General features: G+C 38.2%; 1 long non-coding RNA gene across 2 annotated transcripts in view, besides 1 other annotated feature; it reads right to left on the reverse strand.

The window, feature by feature from the left end:
• LOC105374976 (uncharacterized) overlaps window positions 1-23,924 on the reverse strand; it is a 289,589-nt gene that overhangs the window by 210,055 nt on the left and 55,610 nt on the right. The gene's annotated exons all lie outside the window — the stretch shown is intronic.
• Window positions 13,201-13,495: an enhancer, noted in NCBI's record as "tiled region #10928; HepG2 Activating DNase matched - State 8:EnhW". NCBI's record gives its function as "activates a minimal TATA promoter and a strong SV40 promoter by Sharpr-MPRA in HepG2 cells {active_cell/tissue: HepG2}" and the evidence as "EXISTENCE:reporter gene assay evidence [ECO:0000049][PMID:27701403]".

Genomic DNA, 23,924 nt, shown 5'->3' on the forward strand with positions numbered 1-23,924 from the left:
AATTCTCGAGATTTTTAAACAAGTTCTCTCATCTTGCTCCACCTTCCAAACAATAAAAGAGAGAGAGATGTTTATTTTATTTAATTATTTTTTTGAGATGGAGTCTGGCTCTGTCAGCCAGGGTGGAGTGCAATGGTGCAATCTTGGCTCAGTGCAACCTTCTGCCTCCCGGGTTTAAGCGATTTTCCTGCCTCAGCCTTCTGAGTAGCTGAGATTACAGGTGTGTGCCTCCACTCCCGGGTAATTTTTTTATTTTTAGTAGAGATGGGGTTTTGCCATGTTGGACAGGTTGGTTTCAAACTCCTGGCCTCAAGTGATCCACCCACTTCAGTCTCCCAAAGTGATGGGATTATAGGCATGAGCCACTACACTCAGCACTTTTTTTTTTTTTTTTTTAAGAAGAATTGGTGGACCTTATACCTAGGAGATTTTAATCTGTGCAATTGTGACGGAATGCTGAATAGATCTTTTCTTGTAACGATTTGCTTTTCTCTTGATTTCTGAATTAGTGAATAAGATTCAAATATTAACACAAAGAGGTGATGATTACTCCCACATTCTAAAGAGAGTCAACACTGAAAGACACAGATAGTGGCCTTGGATTTAAACACAGGCAGTCAAAATTATTCCATTTTCCCAAGTATTTCCCCCATTAATCTAACAAAATGTACAAAAAAGATGAAGATTTGAGGGTATATATGGGAATGGTGGCTTATTGGCTTAGAGAAAGAGTTTCATGGCTTTTCTCTCCTTTCTTGTTCAGTAGTATGAGGATCTGTTTTTGCCTTCTCTTTACAGTCAAATAAGAAGGGTTAAAAGAAAGACCAGCATCTCATTACTGATTGACCATTTACTTAGGAAGAGAATTCTGAAATGCCTTCTGCTCTTTTTAGTGGAGGATGGGATGCGGGTGATGTCCCAGCAGAGAAAAGAAGCCACACCTACTAGTTTTGGGTAGTGAGGCTGAGAGATTTCATGTGTGTTAAGTAAACATAGAAGAAAGAAGCCAGCCTTGAGCAGCCTAGTCAAGACTGGCTACTTTTTTCTATGTTTACTTAACACACCTGGACAAAGAGGGAGTCCCAGAAATATGGGAATTCCTTCTATGTTTACTTAATAAAACCTGGACAAAGAGGGAATCCTAGAAATATGTGACTCTACAATATCTGGCCAGAAAAGTTGGCTGAGGGTATACTGCTGAATGTCAAGCATGGAAAATTTTCCTACTGGCCCATAACTAAAGCAGTCCACAAGGTGGCCTAAGACTGCTCACAGGCCCCAGGAGATGGTCAGGCTCTGAATATCTGTGACACAGGTCTCAGAACATAACCAGAGTCTGAATTCCTATGACATAGGCCCTCCAGTGTGCCCAGAGGCTGCATACCTGTGTTTTGACCGCTTAAAGAAGACCATGGCAGCACTTGTTAATAAAAAGATAATCTGATGTTTTTGTTTATCTTTTTCCTACAACATAAAGAGTAAGGAACACAGAAAAGAGAAAGAAGGGGAGTTATAGAAGAGGCCACACCTCTCCCTACTGCTGATTTTCAGCTGAAACTTGGCTAGCGAAAGTGGGAAGAGTGAGCATTATTTAGATAAGAGGAAGTCAAGCAGAGAGAAACAGCTCCTTTTTTAACTACAGAAAGAGACAGAAAAGCTATGGTACTTGGGTGAGATGTGTTAGAGGCAGTAGGGTAGATTTCCTCAAGCACAGTTGAAAGGAATAATGGGGGAAAAAACATTTTAATTTTATATCCAATTATACAGGTTTTTCAACTATTGCTTTATTGTTTTTTGTTGGTTTGCTCTCTCTATACATATACACACACATATGTATATATACATGTGTATATGTATGTGTGTGTGGGTGTGTGTGTGTGCATGTGTGTATCAGAAGCTCTTCATTCAGTATGAAAATTATCCATGCGAATTTCATGCAGTACCGATCTCCTGGTAAGAAATTCTTGTAGCTTTCTAATGAAAGTGTCTTTTGTTTTGCCTTCATTCTGGAGAGATATTCTCACCTTAAAGACAGTGTTTCACTAGCTTCAGGACTCCACTCTTTTCATGCGAAATCAGAGATCATTTGATCTTCCGCCTTTGTAATGATTTGCTTTTCTCCTTATTTCTTTAGGACTTTCTCTCTATTTTGGTGTGGTTTCCTTTGCATTTATCCTGTTTGGGCTTTGCTGAATTTTGAATATTTACATTTATATCTTTTAACATACCTAGACAAAAAACACCAATACACTTTCCAGTCAAACATTGCCTGATGTTCAGACTTAAATATGTGTTCTTTGGAGAACCCTTGAAAATATCTGTGAGTGTTGGTCCAATACAAGCTATCATGTTTTAAAAATAAGAAATTCAATCAAGAGGGCAGGATAAATATAAGGTCGCTGATACTACTTGATATTCAACCCTTTTCCAACCCAAGGTTTATGGCAAAATAGTTTGCAGGGAAATGCCTTTATTGTTAAGAATGTATATAATATTCTGTCATGTACATGACCTTTTTTCTCAAAAAATGAATAACCACTGTTGAAAGGTAAATATATGCCTTAGACAATAAAAAAGTAACCTAGTTTGCTCTGCTCTGAAATTTACATCTATAGCAATTTGGGAAAGGGCTTAATTAGAATCATAAAATTTTAATGGGAAGGGAAGTTGAGTATCACTCTATTCAATTTGAGAGATGAGAAAACTTTGACCAAAGTCACATTAAGCATTAATTATTCCATTCCATAAACATTGGCTGAGCTTCAGTTATCTGCCAGATACATGTTGTATATATGCTAGATCTTGAGTACACCTAAAGGGTGAAAAATGAATTCACAAGCTAATACACAGAGACAGGCTAATAATTTAGATGTGTAGGTATCTAGTTCAGTGCTTGCTTCAGAATGAAAATAACTAAGCCAAACGAATGGGTCCACTATTATAGTCTGGAGAACAATAAAATTTATTTATTTTTTTCAATTATAAGGAAAAGGGAAATAAAAACTCAAATCCCTCTATGGAATGCAATCCAGTAGAACCTGATTTACTTTTATCATCTCAGTTAAACATTAGTATCACCTTTTGAGAGCACTACAGAAAAAAAGGCAACCAGTGGCTTTTAGTGACTACTTCTAGGGTTTCAAATATCTTTGGTTCAAGAAAAGCAGTTATTTCCTCCCACGTAATCATTTATTATGATTTTTAAAAAATTCTGGAGGCTTGCATTACTGGATTTCATAAAACTATTCAGGATGCTAATTATTGTTCTTAAAATGTTGGATAAATGGAAAATACATATTCTACTACACCACAAGTAGTACTTTTTGCCATAGGACAAATGAAAGGTATTAATTTGAGTTTAATGATCAAGTCACAAAAAAAGTAGAAGTTAACTTTGCATAGTGTGTTTTGCAACTCTATTTGAAAGGTAACGTAAGTTCAAGAGACCAACGAGTGTAAACTAAAAATGTTCCCTAATACTCCTATCCCGAATAATTACACAAAATTATTGAAATCTAAGTAATTGTGAATGCTAAAACTTTTTAATGTAAGGAGATCAGTTCATGTTTTCATTAATATTTGTCCAAAGAGACCTAAGATTCTTTCATTATTTTGGTACAATTTATGGCTATGACCAAATAAGAAGACTAGATTTTACTCAAAGTTAATAGAACAATGAAACCGACATGGAGTGGAGGGAGTTTTACTACAGAAAGAAGGCAAAGAAAGTCATATTGCATTCTCCAAAGTGAAAAATATGAATTTTACTTTATTCTTTCAGTACCTTAACTCATATTTATTTACCTCTATTTGTAAAATATTATGCAAGGTGCTATGGGGAATAAAATGATTCAAAGATAGATATTTCCTGAAAGATATTTAGAGATTAAGAGCAAAGATAGAAAATATATGTAAACAATGAAAACATAAGTATACTTGGGGCCCCACTGCTGCATAAGCGGCAAGCAATTCACAGTAACAACAGTGTTAGGGTGCAGCCACTGGGTATCATTTCCTGAGCACATAATGGGCTTCCTAGGAGCTATAACACTTTTAAGTTACGGTAATTTTGGGTGGGGGTTATCATTTTTCTTAAAAAAGAGAATCTTTGTACAAATAAATTTGATAAAAACGTTATTAAAATTGTTTGACAGCAATTCATTCAGGTAAGTAAGAAGGTACATGAGCTACCCTACTGATGACTGGTTGCTCTTCAGAGCAACCATGGGCCAATCATGGTGCAGGCCTGAGAGAAGTCATCAGTGGCCTTCACTCAAACCTGGAATGGGGTAATGGAAGGGGACTCTGTAACAAGAGTCCCATTCTAGACCTCCTTGGTTCCGAAGGTGCATTTGGATCTCTGGAATAGCAATTTTCTAGAAGGAAGCTCTTTTAGAATCCAAAGATCCTTGACTTTTCTATTCCATCTCCTCTGATTTTTTTTCTCTACTTGGTGAAGATATTTATATTAGCATGGTGTGGGCTGAGAATAGATTCTTGATTAAACAAGGATTCTAGATTACCTCAGAGCAGGTTCAATATGGGCCATTCTCAGGAACTTGCTTGAGTTTGAGAATGACCACCATCTTCCCTATTTCAAAGAGAAAAATAAACATACACACTGACACACACACACACACACACACACACACACACCCCAGTCTCTTGGCATTCTGAAACAGACAAAATCACTGATTTGTACCAGGAGTTTCAGCAGACTATACAGGTACCATTCTTGCTCTGGACATTTTTGATCCCTGAGGATCAAAGTCTCTGGGAAACCATCTAGACCCAATTAGAACCATAACCAGGAATTAATTCATTATTTTATGTCTGCTTTTTATCTCTTCCTCTATTCTACAAGCATTTACTAGGTGGTACTTCTCAGAGAGGGTAGCCCATAAGATGACTTTTGTAGTACGTGCAAAAGGCAACTAGAGCTTGTGATGAGGAATCTAATACAGGGGATGGACATGTGCAGAGGTGTGATAAGTTTGAGATGACACAAGTAATTCGATATGTTTTAGACCACAGTGAGGGAGAGGGTGCGACAGCAACACCAAGCCATGATGGGCTTTATCTACTCTATATTAGACTGGGGCTTTCTCCTGAAAGTTAGAGACTCATTGGAAGATATTATCAGGAGAGAGGTATGAACAATCTGCCATTTTATAAAGAATCCCTCTAGAAAATTTCTAATAATAATTGGCAGTCTATACTTTTGAATGAATTAATGAATGATGAGGGCTGTATCTAAGCCAGTGACAGATGAAGAAGAGAAGCAAATCTAGAGATAACAAAATTATATACTCTATAAAACTTGGAAAATAATTGAAGTGTGGTTTGAAAAACAGAGAAATCAAGTATTCCTATGAGAAAACAAAGCTAGCAAAACATGAAACAAAACCCTGGGTTTCATGTAAGGCTTTCCAACCATAGTCTCCCACATGGACAAGACTATATTTTGAATATACATATGCTGATGCTATCTATCCATAATTGGCATTTATTGAAGCTACAGGTGAAAAGTGGGTACTGTGAGACCTATTTAATATTGCCTAGATAGCCCTCCTACAACTTCTTGGGTGGATTTTCCATTTAAATCATGTCCTCAAAATTTCTAGGAAAATTGGCTTATTGTCCTAGCAAAAACAGCTGCTTTGATTTAAACTGTTCATATATAAAAAGCCACAACACAAGCTTAGTAATAGCACCAATTTTTTTAAAGCCACAAGCAACCCACAAATGATAAAACAAGATTCTTTGTCTATTTTTAACATTTGTTTTAATATCAATAGCAACACATTTTGAAATGAATAATTTCATTTTTTCCTAAGTTATTTTCAAATGCAAATTTCTAAAAACATTCTGAGGAAAGTCTTTGGAATCTTTCAACTTAATAAACTCCAGCTGCCTTAAAGAAAACTGATTTACTCTTATGCTATTTGTTTGAACCTCTTCTGATTTGAGATGTAATTGAATTGGTCCAGAGTTATAACACAGGAGAAAAACCCTAAGAGGATTTGAGGAAGGAGGATGTAATGTTTAAAATTACATTTCAGTTAATATGAAGGATAGCCATATAGATTTTGAAAATGTCACAGCATTGAACTCTGAACAAGTAATCCCACAGTATATATTTGCAAACCTGAAAAAACTGTACTGTAATTTTTAGTTTTGGAAGAGATGGGAAAGGAGTATGTTCAGTTATCCTTCAAACTATTTTTAAGCATTTTAACTAGATAGATCTCATGTTGTATTTCTATATTCCATGTGGCCAAGTTTCATTTATTGACATTGCAAAGTATGCTAAGCATGTATGTAAAGCAATTTCAACCCATGTTTAGTTGAATAGAAATGTATTATTCACTAACAGATTACCAGGCCCTCAGATCATCTTCCCTGTACACTTTGTTCATATTTTGCATTATAAAAAATTTTTATTTTGAAGTAATTTTGGATTTATAGAAAAGTTCCAAAAATAATGAAAGGAGTTACTTTATATCCCTCAAGCTGCTTCACCTAATGTTAACCTTTTACCTAACCATAATATAATTATCAAGAAAAATAAATTAACATTGATACATTATTAACTAAAGTACAAATCTTATTCAATTTCTACTAGTTTTTCCACTAATGCTATCTTACTGTTCCAGTATCCCATATTGTATTTAGTTATAAACCTCATCAGTAAGATATGTCAACATGATGTACCCCGATATAATGCACCGATAAGGACACTGTATCAGTACATTTTCACACTGCATCAGTTCATTTTCACACTGCTATAAAGAACTGCCTGAGACTGGGTAATTTATGAAGAAAAGAGGTTTAAGTGACTCACAGTTCCACATGACTGGGGAGCCCTCAGGAAACTTATGATCATGGCAGAAGGGGAAGGGGAAGCAAATACCTTCTTTACATGGTGGCAGGAAAGAGAAGAGTAAGGAGCAAAGGAGGAAAAGCCCTTTATAAAACCATGAGATCTTGTGAGAACTCACTCACTATCACAAGAACAGCATGGGGGAAACTGCCCCCATGATACAAGGGCCTCCTACCAGGTCTCTCCCTAGAGACGTGGGGATCTTGGAGATTACAATTCAAAATGAGATTTGGGTGGGGACACAGCCAAACCATATCATTCCATCCCAGCACCTCCCAAATCTCATATCCTCACATTTCAAAACACAATCATGCCTTTACAACAGTCCCACAGATTCTTAACTCATTCCAGCACCAACCCAAAAGTCCAAGTCCAAAGTCTCATCTGAGACAAGGCAAGTCCCTTCTACCTAGGAGCCTGTAAAATAAAAAACAAGTTAGTTACTTCCAAGATACAGTGGGGGCACAGGCACTGGGTAAATACACCCATTCCAAATGGGAGAAATTAGCAAGAACAAAAAGGCTACAGGCCCCATGCAAGTCAGAAATCCAGCTGGGCAGCCATTGAATCTCAGAGCTTCTAAATAATCTCCTTTGACTCCATGTCTCACATCCAGGTAATGCTGATGCAAGAGGTGGGCTCCCGTGGTCAGGGGCAGCTCTGCCCTGTGGCTTTGCAGGGTACAGCCTCTCTCCTGGCTACTTTCATGGTTTGGCATTGAATATCTGTGTTTTTTATAGGCACATGATGCAAGCTGTGGGTGGCTCTACCATTCTGGAGTCCGAAGGATGGTGGCCCTTTTCTCACAGCTCCTCTAGGCAGTACCCCAGTGGGGACTCTGTGTTGGGGCTCCAACCCCACATTTCCCTTCTGCACTGCCCTAGCAGAGGTTCTCTATGAGGGCTCTGCCCCTGCAGCAAACTTCTTCCTGGACATCCAGGTGTTTCCATACATCTTCTGAAATCTAGACAGATGTTCCCAAACCTCAATTCTTGACTTCTGTTCATCTGCAGGCCCAACACCCTGTGAAAGCCACCAAAGCTTGGGGCTTGCACCCTCTGAAGCAACGACCTGAGCTGTATGTTGGCCCCTTTTGCCACAGTTAGGATGAAGGGCACCAACTCCAGAGACTGCACAAAGCAGCAAGGCCAGGGGACCCAGCCCACAAAAATATTTTTTCCTCCTAGGCTTCTAGGCCTGTGATGGGGCAGGCTGTTATGAAGACCTCTAACATGCCCTGGAGACACTTTCCCTATTCTCTTGGCAATTAACATTTGTCTCCTCACTACTTATACAAATTTCTGCAGTTGGCTTGAATTTTACCCCAGAAAATGGGTTTCCCTTTTCTATTGTATTGTCAGCCTGAACATTTTCCAAACCTTTATGCTCTGCTTCCTTTTCAAACATAAGTTCCAATTTCAGATAATCTCTCTGAAGTTCAAAGTTCCACAGATCTCTAGGGCAGGGACAAAATGCCGCCAGTCTCTTTGCTAAAGCATAGCAAGTGTGACCTTTGCTCCAGTTCCCAATAAGTTCCTCATCTCCATTTGAGACCACTTCAGCCTGGACTTCATTGACCATATTACTATCAGCATTTTAGTTAAAATCATTTCACAAGTCTACAGGAAGTTTTAAACTTTCCCACATCTTCCTGTCTTCTTCTGAGCTCTCCAAACTGTTCTAAGCTCTCCTGTTACCCAGTTCCAAAGTCACTTCCACATTTTAGGATATCTTTATCCAATACTCTACTCTTTACAGTACCAATTTACTGTATCGGTCCACTTTAACAGTGCTATAAAAATCTGCCAGAGACTGGATAATTTAGAACAAAAAGAGGTTTAATTTACTCACAGTTCCACACAGCTCGGGAGGCCACAGGGAACTTCTAATCATGGTGGAAAGAGAATGGGAAGCAATGACCTTCTTCACATGAGAGCAAGAGAGGGAAGAGTGAGGAGTAAAGGGAGAAGAACCCCTTATAAAACCTCAGATCTCATGAGAAATCATTCACTCTCACAAGAACAGCATGGGGGAAACTGCCCTCAGTATCCAATCACCTCCTACCAGGTGTCTCCCTAGACATATGGGGATTATGGGGAATACAGTTCAAGATAAGATTTGGCCAAACCATATCAGACACAATAACATTTTTTGGGGGGTATTCTTGACAAAAATGCATACCTTCTATCCAATTATAAGAGAACAACAGTCTAATCAAAATTGAGGAACATTTGAAAAAAATAACTTATTAGTACTCTTTAAAAGCATCAAGGTCATGAAATACTGAGTAGCTATTATAATCTGGAGAAGGGAAAGATTAAGGATAAATAACAACATACTTTTCTCTCTCTCTTTTTTTTTTTTATGCATTGGAGCCAGAAAACAGAGCAATTAAAAAACAGAAGAAGGGCCAGTCATGGTGGCTTAACCTGCAATTCTAGCACTTTGGAAGGCTGCGTGCGGTGGGAGGGTTGCTTAGGCCCAGAAGTTCAATGTTGCAGTAAGCTATGATTCTAGCCTGAAGGACAAAGGGAGACCCCTTATTTAAAAAAAAAACAAAAACAAATAGAGAAGGAAGCTCTAGCATAACAAAACTAATGGAAGAGGGATGGGATGGGAGCTTCTGCCTTCAACAGCTTTGAGGCTTGCAGGGATTCATGGTCACCTTTCATGGAATCATGAAATGTGTTGCTGATGGCAGAAGGTATAGTCCTCCTAGAATCCATTTTTCTGTTTGAGCTTCTAATATATCACATCAGTTGAGTGAATAAGTGGAGTTGAAGGATCTCTACTGCGACACATTAGATTCCATGGGAAGGAAATTAGAATGACCATGTTGAACACTAATTTTTGTGCCAGAAGCCTTGCAAAAGAGAGGAAACCTGGCAATGAGCCTCAGGATCTGATATTTATTTTGTTCAACGGAGATTAGTCAGGTATACTGAGTCTGGATGAATAAAAATCAAAATCAGAGAAGTTGAGAAACAGAAGGCAGATCCACAGGAACCAGAGGTTGGGGAAGGTGGAGGCCATGATACCAGAGAAACCAGAAGCAGCACACTTACAGTTTTAGTGATGTGTGTCCTCAGATGTCCCTTGAGTTCTCTAATACAGAATCACACTTCACCATTCCTAAACCCACAGTTCCTATTTCTATGAGACCATCTTCAGAACAAACTCTAAAATAGATTGCCCTAAAAACTAAGGGGATTATATACAGATTTTTGAGTGCTCTTGAAATCTGGGGTATTTTATACATAATTTTGAGCCTGGGAGTATGTCCCTGTTTCTGGATCTTGATTTATTAGAATACCCAGATTTTCCATGAACCAAAACAAATAAATGAAAACCATGGGAACCATCCCTTGATTGGAAAAGGGACAAGAGTCATTGTAATTGCGTATATATTTCTGTCAGTAATAATAACTCACAATTAATTTGACCACAACTATGCGCCAATTGCCAGGTAATTTACATACATTATCTTGCCTAAGTCTCAGAAAAAAACTATGAGTTATAATTATTTCCATGTTGCAATTTGAAGAACTAAGGTCAAGAGAAGTTAATCTCCTTCCTAGACGACGCTTAGTAAGAGCTACAGCCAGAATTAGCATCAGGTCTCTAAGAGTCCCAAGCTTAAGACGTTTAAAAAACATCAAGCTGTTCTTTGGGACTTCGTATTTTATTGCAAATCTACTTAAATACAAGAAAACACTACACTCCCTTAATATTATAAAAGTTTTATTTTTAGTGATTCCAGTAAATTGGAGGAAATTGTCTATTTGCCCAGCAGCTACAAATAAAACAAAGGTATTTCAGCACCCAGTTTTTTTAAAAAATTGACCTGCTTTCATCATTATAAATTTTCCAGCTTCCTCATCGGAAATGTCCATATAGTCCTTTGCTACCACAATTTTTCTGTTACAGAAATTCTATTGATATAACTACTGGAGATTTTTTACTAATATACCAATTGATTCATTGATGTTGACAAATTGCCAACATCAATGAAGCCCTGAGCCTTCTTTTGCCTGGGAAGTATTCTGCAACTGTGTTCAAATAAATTCAAATAAAATACTCCTACTGCATCATTATGGAGTTTTATTTACAGAGAACTGCCTCAAAATTATAATATTATAAAAATAATTGATATTTTGAAAATAAAATCAATGAGATGGTAGATGTAAGGAAAGAGAAATAAGAGTATGTACAACCAATTCTAATTCCCAAATAAAAGCAAAACTAAATCGTGGGATCATTAGACCCATGATCATATTCTTTAATTGCTAAACTGTAAGTTTTAAAACAAGTTTTGGTTCACAGCAAAATTGAGTGGAAGATACAGAGAATTCCCATGTATCTCCTGTTCCTACAATCACACCACCTCCCCTACTAGCAACACCCCTCACCCAAAATGGTACATCTTTTACAATCAATGAACCTACATTGACACATCATTATCACCCAAAACCATAGTTTACATTAGAGTCCACCCTTGTTGTTGGACATTGTATGGGTTTTAACAAATGTGTAATGACATGTATCCATCATGGCAGTGTTGTACAGAGTAGTTCCAGTGTAAACACTGCCATGGTGGATACATGTCATTATTCTCCGTACTCTATTTATCCCACCCTCCGCCAACCTCTGGTAACCAGAGGTTGTATATTAATCCTTGTAATATACAGTTTTGTCTTTTCCAAAATGTAATACAGTCAAAATAATATTGTATGCAGCCTTTTAAGCTTGGCTTCTTTCACTTAGTAATATGCATTTAAGTTTCCTCCATGTCATTTCATGGCTTGATTGTTCATTTCTTTATATTGCTGAATAATCTATTCCATTGTCTAGATGTGCTACAGTTTATTCACTCACCTACTGAAGGACATCTTGGTTGCTTCCAAATTTGGCAATTATGAATAGCACTTCTGCAAACATCTTTTTGCAGGTTTTTGTGTGGATATGAGTTTTTTATTCATTTGAGTAAAAACCAAAAAGTACAATCACTAGATCATACAGTCAAAGAATGTTTATTTTTATAAGAAACTGCTGAACTGTCTTCAAAGTGACTCTACTACCCACGATCATATTTTCGGAGATAAAAAGATCTCTATGTTAATTATTTTCTCATTTTTAAGATAACCAAAAAACCCATAAGTCTTTTCATAAAAAAACTGTGAGTTTAAAATGTATGAATACTCTCCTTCACTGGAGATCAATTGGATCAGAATCTCCGAAGGGTGATGTTCAGGTACCGATACATATTTTAGGAGTGCCTTGATTATATTACATAGCTGGGATTGAGAATTGTTGATGTAGGTTATCTGGGCAGCCACCCAACACCATACACCACCACCTGAATGCAGTGCTGCCATTGCATTTATATTTATACTCATATTTGTAACAAATAATCTAGTAACACAATGATATTTAACTTTTCATGTTTCAGTAAGTATAACTGGCTATCATTAAGCTGCTCTGTTCTATTATCAGAACGACAGATTTACAAAGGCAGCCTTTTATTCATGTTGAGTTATTTTTCCAGTTGTAAAATCACCTCCCACCCTTTTATTGTGCTAGTCATTCAAAACTAGAAAATATTTTTGGAGGAATAACACTGGAGTTTAACAAATGACTTTTTAAAAATTAGACTTGCAATAGCAAAAACAACATAAAGTAAATATTATGCATTTTAAATGTTTCTGGCAACTAAGAAAGGAACAGAGACAGACATGAAATGAAAACGACGAAATTGTGGCAAGTGAAGTTCCAATGACCTTGGAAAATGTTACCAGTAATACTTCACAATATATACAAGTGATGGAAAAACTGAATCATGGAATATTATGCGGTTCTATACACATCTGCACCTCAAAAGATGTTAGAAGTTAGTACTATTTCAACTTGAATGCATACCATCTATGTGCTAACTTGTAATGATCTATTACTAGAAATGTTATAATAGGTAGTCAGGCAGGGATGAGCAGGGCAGGACAGCTCCTCAACCCCTCCACCAGGAATGTCAGACGGCTATCATGCAACTGTCAGGCGGTTGTTAAACTGTCCCTCTAAAACAATAATTGGTCACAGCTGGTGCTGTGGAAGGGCAGGCTCCCAATAGATAGAAAACACCTGAAGCTGGTGATTAGCCAGCTAATCTATCTGAGATCCAGATAAGATCTCAGGAGTTGGGTGAGTGGGCTCATGCATGTGCACTAAGAAGTAAACGAGGTTTAACCGGTATATGACCTTACAGGAACACTCAACTAATAAGGGAAGAATATCTCAAGTGAGCATGCTTACAACTTCAGTAAACATGCTGTGCATGCAGCCCCAGCCCCTCCCAAGTGCTGGCAGGCCACAGTGCATAAGGACAGCCCACCCCAAGGGAAGAATCAGGGGAGAAGGGACGCAAGAGCCAGGACGGATGTCAACATATGAAACCATAAGTCAAAGGTCAAACTGTGTACTTGATCTCTCCAGTCGCCCACTTGGCCCTCTTCCAAGTGAACTTTGCTTTCTTTCATTCCTGTCCTAAAACTTTGTAATAAACTTTAACTCCTGCTCTCAAACTTGCCTCGGTCTCTCACTCTGCCTTACACTCCTTAGTCAAATCCTTTCTTCTGAGGAGGCAAGAACTGAGGTTGCCGCAAACCCACAGGGATTTGCTACTGCTAACATACTTTGGTGCCATGTGACTCGGATACGTTCTGCTGCTACATGCGAGAGTATACAATGAAAACACAACAGGAACATTAGAGTAGGTGTCCCGGAGACACTGGGACTCCTATAACAGACAGCTTTAGCTGAATGACACCCCAGCGGCCTTGTTGAATCTTCTGTAGGCAGCCCAGCAGTCTAAGACCCTCCAGTCAACCTTCTTTCCTTCCTTCATAAGTGATCGTGTCAGAACCATAGCAAACTCCATCTTGAGTGAGGGCTAGGAAAATGATGCTAGGACTTGCTGGGCTGGATTCCCAGAAAGTCAGGTACATTCGTAACTTCTAGATTTTTAAAGTTAAGGGAACAGATTGATAACATTTACTAAACAAACGCAGACTTAGGAGTGTCCTGATATCCCGATATCTTGAGAACAGAAGCATTCCTAATTTTGCTTTAAAGATAATAATATAGATTCTTGCAAAATATAGTAATTAAGAAAATGAATCCTTTATCACAAACCTTTTTGGCAGAGTACATCCCCCCCATGATCTTATTTTATCCTACATATAAACAAGCATTGTACCTAGGGTGGGCGTGTTCCTCCCCTTGCTCTAGGGAACACCCTACTCGGTCTATGGAGTAGCTATTGTTTCACCCCTTTACTTTCTTAAGAAACTTGCTTTTGTTTTGCCCTGTGGACTCGCCTTAAATTCTTTCTAATGTGAGATCCAAGAACCTTCTCTTAGAGACTAGATCAGGACCCCTTGCCGGTAATAGTCAGACTTCTGTCAGGCTCCCTGGTTCCCTCCCATTTTTTCTCACAGGCATTTCTCTTAATAAAATTCTTGCATGTTCACGTGGGCAGCTATTTCACAGCAGATCCAGACTGGAACATAAACCAATAAAAAAAATTGTAATTTGGTGATTGAAACAAGATTGTTTTCTTCAGCAAACATGATTTATCATATTAAATTGGTGATAATTTTAATATCCAGTAGCTACTTTTGTTTATAGGTAACTTTAAAAAAAACTATCTTATATTACTACTAGGACTACTGAAAGCTTTTGTTTTTCCTTTTAAACTGGTGTGTATGTCATTTAAATTAGAGAAATGCTGTCCTAACTAAGCATTCATTTGCTACAATTCTCTGCAGCTGAGGCGGAGAGTGAGCGTCATTTCTGTGAGGTTGCTTTTATCAAAAAAACTCCAATTAAATTGTTTTTCAGTTCAGCTACTTGTTAATTGCAGATCAAGTTGCATAGGCTATGTCCAAGCGTGGTTCACCATTGTGAAAATCCACCCTCACTATGAAACAAAACCACCACCGTCCGCTAACATGTGTTTTACCAAATGCATCAGCTCCACCCAGTCTGGCTCATTCACTACAACCCAATTTTTAAACACTGCTCAGAATGTTGTTTCAACTATTTGTGCCCATTCTGGCTGCCTTCTCCAACAACTGGGAAAGCCTAGAGGCCAATAAACAAGTAAACTTGGATAGCCGCAAACCACAGTGCCCCAAGTCTAAACTACTGTGTTGCTTACTTAGCATACCTCATACTGGGGCACAGCCAGCACTAGTCTTAGCTGGAGGCCCTAGATGAAGCCCATAGGATGTGGCATTGTGTGACTTAACATATGTAAAAAGCTCTTTCTTCCAGTGTGAAGATTCTGCAGTGAATATAAAGCAATGTTCCTTTGGTTGCTCCACAGGGCTATTACCACTGCTACCATATTTAAACATTCTTTGGGACCTTTGAGATCTAACCCTCTCATCCTTTTCTAGGACAACTGTGGGGAGAAGAGAATGGGTAAGGAAGAAACACACAGATTCTTGGCACAGCTCTCCTGGTTACTGACTTTTAAAGTGAAGCTTTCAACTAATAAGTGAACAGAAAAAAAATGCAGACTCAGTTTTAGTCTTCTTGATCACTGAATAACTCTGAACAGAGTAGAATGTGCCACTAAGAGTTTAGACTCTGCTGACCTTGACACTCTGTAGACTCTCCGGAGGAGCAAGAGGGAAACATCTAGAATAACCACAGTGCAGTATCTCAACCAGAAGACTGGGGCTGGCACAACCCACCTCCCCGGACAATACAAAAAGAACTTATGGGGTAGTGTAACTGCCCAATGGGTTCTTTTTGCCCATTGCCTAGACAAAGCCAATTTATCAAGACAGGAGAATTGCAATAGAGAAAGAGTAATTCATGTGGAGCCAGATATATGGGAGACCAGAGGCTTATTAAATATTAGACTCAAATTATTCTCCCTGAAAATTTGGGGATTCTAGTTTTTAAGGATAATTTGGTGGACAGAAGGCCAGAGAGTTGGGAGTGCTGGTTGGTCAGGTCAGACATGAAATCACAGGGAGTCGAAGTTGCACTCTTGACCTGAGTCAGTTCCTGGGTGGAGGCCATGAGAACAGATGAGCCAGTTTATCGATTTGGGTAGTGTCAGCTGATCCATCAAGTCCAGGGCCTGCAAAATATCTCAAGCACTGATCTTAGGTTTTACAATAGTGATGTTATCCCCAGGAGCAATTTGGGGAGGTTTAGAATCTCGCAGCCTCCAGCTGCATGACTCCTAAACCATAATTTCTAATCTTGTGGCTAATTTGTTTGTACTGAAAAGGCAGTCTAGTCCCCAGACAGGAAGGAGTTTTTTGGGGGAAAGGGCTGTTATTGTCTTTGTTTCCAAGTTAAAGTATAAACTACTTTCCTCCCAAAGTTAGTTTGGCCTACACCCAGGAATGAACAAGGACAGTTTGGAGGTTAGAAGCAAGATCGAGTCAGATTGTTCTCACTTTAATAATTGTCTCAGTTACAATTTTTGCAAAAGTAGTTGCATTAGTACCCAAGTATCAGTCAACCCAGGTGACTCCACTTCTCAGTCAAGTCTAGGAACTGTTAGTCTAGGTTTAAGACATTAATTCTCACAATTGCTCATTCATCAAAATTATCTGAACACTTACTAATAAAATGATGGCTGGGCCTCACCCCCAGTTTTTTATTTAGTAGCCCTTTGTGAAGAATTTGCATTTTTAACGAGAGCATACCAATATAAGGTGCTCTAAAAGCCCAAATTCTCCTCTTACCTTCTGTTCCCTGTGCCCGTTTGGAAAGATTTCAATGCTTTCCACTGTTGTAATGGTTAACTCTGAAAGGGAAGTGGGTGGGGCCTGAAATGCCTTAGTGCAGAGTGAGTGTTGGTACAGGATATGTTGATGCTGCCAGTTAGGGATTACACTTTGAGAACCAACAGTCCAGGGAATTCTAGGTTTTCTAGAAGGCCCATCTAGTAAACTTCTGCTCACTTTATATTGGCAACAACTATGCTACCTGGACGTGTCTATCCATAATGGAACTAGGATATTAAATATTTTCTTTGAGCACATTGTGCACATTCTGCCCCAAACAAAATCAGATTATCTTGAATAAGGAAGAAGGAGAGAACAGAGATCTGGAAGATGAGTACTTCCTAACATGTTTAATGTCATGCAAATCTAAAAATGATCTGATTTTTGTGGCATGCTGAAGGAAACAGGATTTTAGTGCCTTTGTGGCAGGCAGTATCCACTGGCCCCAGTGCTCCAGCCAACCTGAGTTCTGTCCATTCACCCAGAGGGCTGAGGGCATCCAAGCTCTGCCTGGTCAGATGGTGAAGCTCTGGATGGGCAATTGGTAGTGTCTGCTGGAGACATGTGCTAAGCTGAGCTCCTATTACCTAATTTGTTTGACTATTCCATTCTCTAAAGGAAAGATAAAGCTCTGATCAGCAACTCTACCAAACACCAACTTACATAGCAGTAGGTATGATGGAGAGTTAACTCCTAATGGCCTCTGCCCACAGCTGACTTCATCCAGAGGGGCACCAGTGGATTGTCTAGACCAGTAGGAGTAGAGGAGATATGTTAGCACTTTAATTTCATCCAGCTTCAATTTTTCTTTCTCAAACACCATTTTCTACAGATTTTTTTTTCCTCTGCAGAGATCTCACAAAATTCCTGGCTCACACCATGTGGCTTTAGCATTTTAGAATCATTGCTAGCAGATTAACTGAGTGACAGAGTGAACACATACCAATATAAAGGGCTCTAATACACCTAATTCTCCTCTTACCTTCTGCACACTGTGCCCATTTGGAATGATTGCAATGCTTCCCACTTTTGTAATGGTTGAATCTGAAAGGGAAGTGGGCTCTGAAATGCCTTAGTACAGAGCAATATTAAAAGATTTGAAAGCTTTTCCCTTGAAGCCACAGAATGTCCCGAAAGCTTCTGATTGCTTGACTCTAGTCTATCCCACACAGATTTGACCAAGTCCCTATTCTATCAGCCACATATGCACTGAAAAATATCTATCCTTAATCATTAAGACATTCCCACTGCTTCAAACGACCCTATGGCTCCTATAAAAGCTAAAATTATTTTCACTTGACAACATTCGGGCCTATGATTTCTTTCACTAAAAGAATAAGGTCCATCAGTAAAAATTACGTAAAAGTAATGGTGCATCCAAAATGTGTCCTATTGTATATAAATAAAATGTAAGGACTTCCAATATATATTGGTCTCCTTTGTTTGGGGAAAAAAAAAGAGAGGGATGGCTGTTGCTACACAGTCTTGATGACATTATTGCTGCTGCTCTCGGGGTGACCGTAGAAGACCTATTGCTGGAATGACGGACAGTGAGGGAGCCACACACTCACCACCCCTTGGCCTGAGGCTATAGCTGCAATTTTCAAGGCCTAGCATAGGGTAAAATGCTGCATCTTCGTTTCTCAGGCTGCTTAAACCTCTGCTCTAAATTGGCCACCCTGGATCTGAATGCCATCCACTGAGAGAGATTATCCAACAGCTCTGGACTCTTGAAGGGTAACAGTGGCTTTTTAATAAATGTAATCATAATCAGTAATTAGTAAATTCCATGTTAGATGGTGTAGTAATAGCCCTGTAATCACACAAAATTCTTACTTCTACCTTCTCTAAGCATTAATGTTTAGTATTAAAATTATTTAAAAGAATGTACTTATCATTGCCTTCCTAATTTTATAAAAATGAAGTTGTAATATTTCTGCTGTTTTCCATGAATCAGCCTAATTCCTTTCATACACATTGACATATTAGATATTTTACCTGATAATTGATAAAGAATACATCGCACTGCCCCAATTAGAATTAGTTGAGTTAATTCATCCAATAGCCTTTGTAGCAAGTATTTATTGAGTGTCTACTGCATGTTAGGTTCTGTGCTAATTGTATTGGGTGCAGCTGTGTACAAAACAGACATGGTTTCAGGACTCAACAAGCTCACATTATCCAGGAAATTCATTTATACAGGGTATATTTAATCATCTATGTTTCCTTATTAGGCTCTGGCAATTATGGGATACATTTATTTCAGGTAGTTTTCTAACTCTGGTGGCAAAGGGTAAGCAACTGAGGAAAAGCTTTCTCTCATATCCAGAGTGTATCCTTCTTTTGAGTTTTTCATTTACCTTCATTACTCTCCTTCTCTTTCTAATCCTTGATCCCCAGTCCACAAAGAAGTTAGTAAATTAATTGCTTATTTATTTCTGGCCTTTTACGAGATAGTGAACTGTGTTTTTCAGCATAGAGAAATGAACTTTTATGTGTTATTTCTGCCCATTCCTGGCATTCTGCCCTATTCTCTCAGTAAATACAGTAGTCGCCATCCCTGTGAGAGCTCAAGACATGTTGGATGGACGGATGGATGGATGAGTGGATGGACATGTAGCTGTGCTCAAGGAGAGAATCTGTTAGACTGGTGCTTCATGGAAGTAACCACGACTGTTTATTTAGTTCACATGGCTTTCCCATAAGTCCAAATTTATTTCCTCAGGTCTTAAAGGATTTGGTCAAGGCAGACCATCAGGCTCTTTACCAAATCGTATGGAAGGGAGATGATATTTTGGCATAAAGAAAAATGTTCCATAGAATTTGGAAGGTATCTCAGAGAACATCTAGTTCCACCCTGTGATATATAGATAAGAAAAGGAACCAAGAGAGGTGAAACATTCTGAGATTACATTGCCTGTTAGGCGCAAAACTACGACCACAACCCAGTATCCTCTATTCCCTGCCCCAGGTTCTTCCCAGTGCACAGTATGGACCTCATTTGTAAACAAGTGAAAATCAGGCAACATCATGATTGTCTTTGACAATTCAGTACAAATGTAAATGGACAGATGGTTCATGGGGGCTCCTGGAGGCCAGCCAAAAGTATGGGCAGAAGCACAGGGCACCTTGAATTTATATTTGCTTAAGAGGTTATAGAATGTTTACCCAGAATGTGTAGCAGATGCTGCGTCTTTCCATCTGCCTTAGTTATGCAGCTGAGACTGAAATTCTTTGTGGCCACGTCCTAAGTTAGCAACTTCGTTGTGTTTAGTCTCCACCAAAAGAAAATTTAAAAAGACAGAACAAAACAATGCTGACAAAAACTTGAGGTTTGGGAGCATCCAAAATGCTACTGAAACCATGCTAGATGTTCCTTAATTATAAATTAAGTATAAGTTTTAGTATAGTTGGGCACTTAAGAAAAAGAGCAATAGTACAGATGAGCATTAAGAAAAATTATTGAATATGTTAAAGAATGGCATTATTTTTGTTATCTAAATTAATAGTAAGATTGTATTTTTTTTTTCACTCAACACGTGTCACACACAGAGTAGTCTATATAATTTGAGAGGCAAATGGGAAACTCTGCCTGCCCCAAAACTAACTTACACAAATAGCAGCATAAGAAAATCACTCCCTTGGAGTTAAAAAGTCACCTCCAAGGTGCAAATAATTTGAGTGAATCATATCACGAAATTACATGTTAGAGCATCAATAGTTCATAAGTTGGTGCCCACACCTTTAACAAGATGCCACAAAATTGTCACTGATAGGGTGGGTTCCTCGTTGTTCTTGGTCTGACACCCTCAGCTATGTGAGTTTCATACTGTATGTGTTGTAAGACACCTTTCCTTTACTCTGATAATTTTTAAGACACTTTCAGTTAAGTGAAAGAATATCTAATGAAAACTAGGCTCTTGCCTCTGAATTCCTCTTGGGTTTTAGCCTTTGTGACTGAAATACGAAGAGGAAAAGAAAGCTTAAAGGGTGTGTTGGTTATTTCACTGTTTCTATGTGGTTCTCACATCTTCCCCCTGTTCACATGTCACCTGCATCCTTAAGATGCCTTCCTTATCATAAGACAATGGCCAGAGCCATTCTGCACCTCATATCTGCATCCCACACCACTCAAAAAAAAGAGACACCGTGTCTTCCCTGTTCTTCCCATGAGCAAAGTTATGAGATTCACTCTTATTGGGACAAGTTTCAATATATGCCCTTCCCTAAATGAATCACTGTGACCAGGAGAATGGACCATTCTGATTGACCGGAACTGACTGTGGCCAACACCCAGAACTGAGGTGTAACTGGCAGACATGAATGGCTGCTGGGATGACCATCACAGAGTACATTGTGATAGCTATTGTAATGTGTTAAATTAAAGAAGAAGGAAGGAATTCGTCTGAGGCTGGCTCTCCACTTTGAGTTCCTACATAATGAAGTTCAGCATAACTTGGACTGTAAACAAACCAAAACCTAATCAAGGAGTATAACAAATAGCTGAGTTTCAGCTAACTCCTCACTCCATGACCAAAAAAGGCAAGTACTCACCATGCTCAAATGAGGCAGACACCTAACTGTAGCCAAACAGGTAATTTTCCTACTTGGTTTCTACATTTGGCCTATAAAATCTGGCTGCTTATACTGCTACTGCTGGGCGGAGATCTCTGAACCTCCTCTGGTTCTGACGGCTACCCAATTCATGAATTGTTCTTTGCTCAAATAAACTCTGCTACATTTATTTAGTCTAAAGTTTGTGTTTTACTTTTAACAAGAGATATAGGAATTTTTGTGGTGATGGAGAAATAGGAGAAAAGATAATGATTTCAAAACAGGTCAGTGCCTGAGGAGGACAGATATAACAGATTCAAAGAGAAGAGTTCTATAATGCTAGTTTAATATATCTCTCAGTGGCAGAAGAAGGCTGAAGAAGCCTGCTTTGAGCTGAGACAGTTTCAGAAGGAGAGTTGACAAGGGCATGCATGATTGTTTATTGCACAATCGCAATAATTTACAGATGTTTTCTGCAAATATCTTACTCTAAGATATCAGAAGTATGTTTCAAGTACAAAAACATTCACATAATGGGCATTTTTCTCCTTACTATCTTCTTTCTATATGAGCATAGCTCAAATAGAATAACAATAGGATTCTGCTGTTTATTCACAGCATTCTGAGTAGAAAAAAATTTCAAGAAAAAGAATTAGTTTTCTTTCAACCTACTGACATTACTCCTATCCCTATTTTACTCTTCAAATATAAACATTTAAGGTCACAGTTATGATTTTTTTCATTAAAGTTTCATTTTTTTATGTGTGAAATCTTCACAGTGTAGAAGCGGAGGCTAAAACTTAGTGCTGCTTTTCTTTTCTTTGGTCCTATAAGGTCATAACGTATCCTTCCTGAGTCTCACCACAATGTGCCTCTTAATATGTCATAATATAATAGTATTTTATAAGGTTAATGCAGTGTCATAAATGCTGCAGGCAGAAATCAGTAACACAGAATAGAAACAGGAGCACTAATTTGGAAAATGTGAAATCTAAAATTCCACCAACTAACTAACTGTGAACTTTGGTCAAGTCATTCAATTTCTTACATCTTCGGTAGTGGTTTCTTCCTAAGATGGGAATATTAATACCTTACCTGTCTAAAAGCAGAGAACTGGATAAGATCATCTGTTGATTTCCCTTTAGGCTGAAAATATCTATAATTCTTAGGAAAAAGTCAACAAATGACACTTGAGAATGACATGGTAATAATCTTATGATATTTCAAAATGTTAGTATTAACATAAATGGGCTATTTGTCTATTCATTGAAGGTAAACAAATTACCACCGCAATGTAAGTTAACAAAAGGGCAGCATTTGTCTTGAAATTTTTTATCTCGTGTCTCAATCAATCATTCTCCTCCACTTTGGAGATCAGTTTTAGTTGTAATTTCTTTGTGATATGTCAGTACATAAGGTAAGAAATATATTTTCTACCAGGACAACAACAACAAACGTACGTAGAACTAATGACATCTCCTTCACTCTATAAACGCATTGGATATTTAAAATTCATATGTTAAAGGGCATTGCTATTGGCTTGATTACTCTTTTTACAAAACTGCTTTTGTAGTTAGCCATTTTCTTGATTGTCCTAAAACATGTGTTCAGTGTTAGAATTTGTTGCAGTAACCATAGTTTAAAACAAGTTTTCATTGTTGTTAATGTTATTATTTTTATTATTTTTTTTACAAATTGAACAGAAAGTCACTTAATGGAGAAGACGGGCTAAAGTAAAAAGAACTAAAAAGTGTGTTAAAAAAGTTGCATGCATTCAGTTCTGAGACTCGTGGGTTGCTTTAAATTGCTACTAAAAATATCTGCGCTAAAAGCTAATTTATAACACCTATAAATGTAGGTAAACATTCATTCATTCTTGCATGTATTTATTCATATACACAGAAATATCCATTATGTGGCAGACATTGTGCTGGGGGCTAGTTGTAGAAGAATGTGTGAACAGAAGCTACCCTGGTTTCATGGAGCTAGGGGGAAATTTAATTGACAGCACAAAAAAGGGTGCAATTATTCTACCTACAGAAACCTGAAAGAACTTCACAGATTTGAGTGGGAATCTTCAATATATTCATGATAGCTGAGTAGGTGGCATTTCCAGGGGGAAAGAGTGCTAAACTGGAAGGTAAGAAAACAGAATTCAGAATATAAGGGGAACCTTGCATTTTAAAGAACTGGTGGAAAAGGAGAGTTAGGAGGACAAAAGGCTAAGAAACCAAAAGAGAAGGAGGTAGGATCTCTCAGCGATCAGGGTGGAGAGGGTTTCAAGAAGTTGCTCAACTTCAAAAAGTGTAGAAAAGTCTGATAGAAAATAATGTAAAAGAGGCCTTAAGGGTTGGCATTCTGGTGGATATTGGTGATGTTTGGGAGCCACTTCCACAAAGTGGTTTTTTCACTGAATGCCCATTCTGGTCAGCTCTCAAACAGAGAAGTTACATTTTGATCATCAAAACATTTCCAAAAATCATAGCACTCAATTCGACACTGTGAGTTGAGCCTGTCTTTCCTTCAGTGTCACGGGGTCTTGACCACTTGCACGACCATGCGAAACAACATCCATGATACATGGTATCTTTCTTTAGCATGTCAAATTCATTACTGCCTTTTCCTATAAGATACTCAAATTTCCTGCCAAGGCCTCCTTCATATTCCTCCCTATATTCCACAAA

Source organism: Homo sapiens, chromosome 6 (assembly GCF_000001405.40).
Source record: "Homo sapiens chromosome 6, GRCh38.p14 Primary Assembly".
Taxonomy (NCBI): domain Eukaryota; kingdom Metazoa; phylum Chordata; class Mammalia; order Primates; family Hominidae; genus Homo; species Homo sapiens.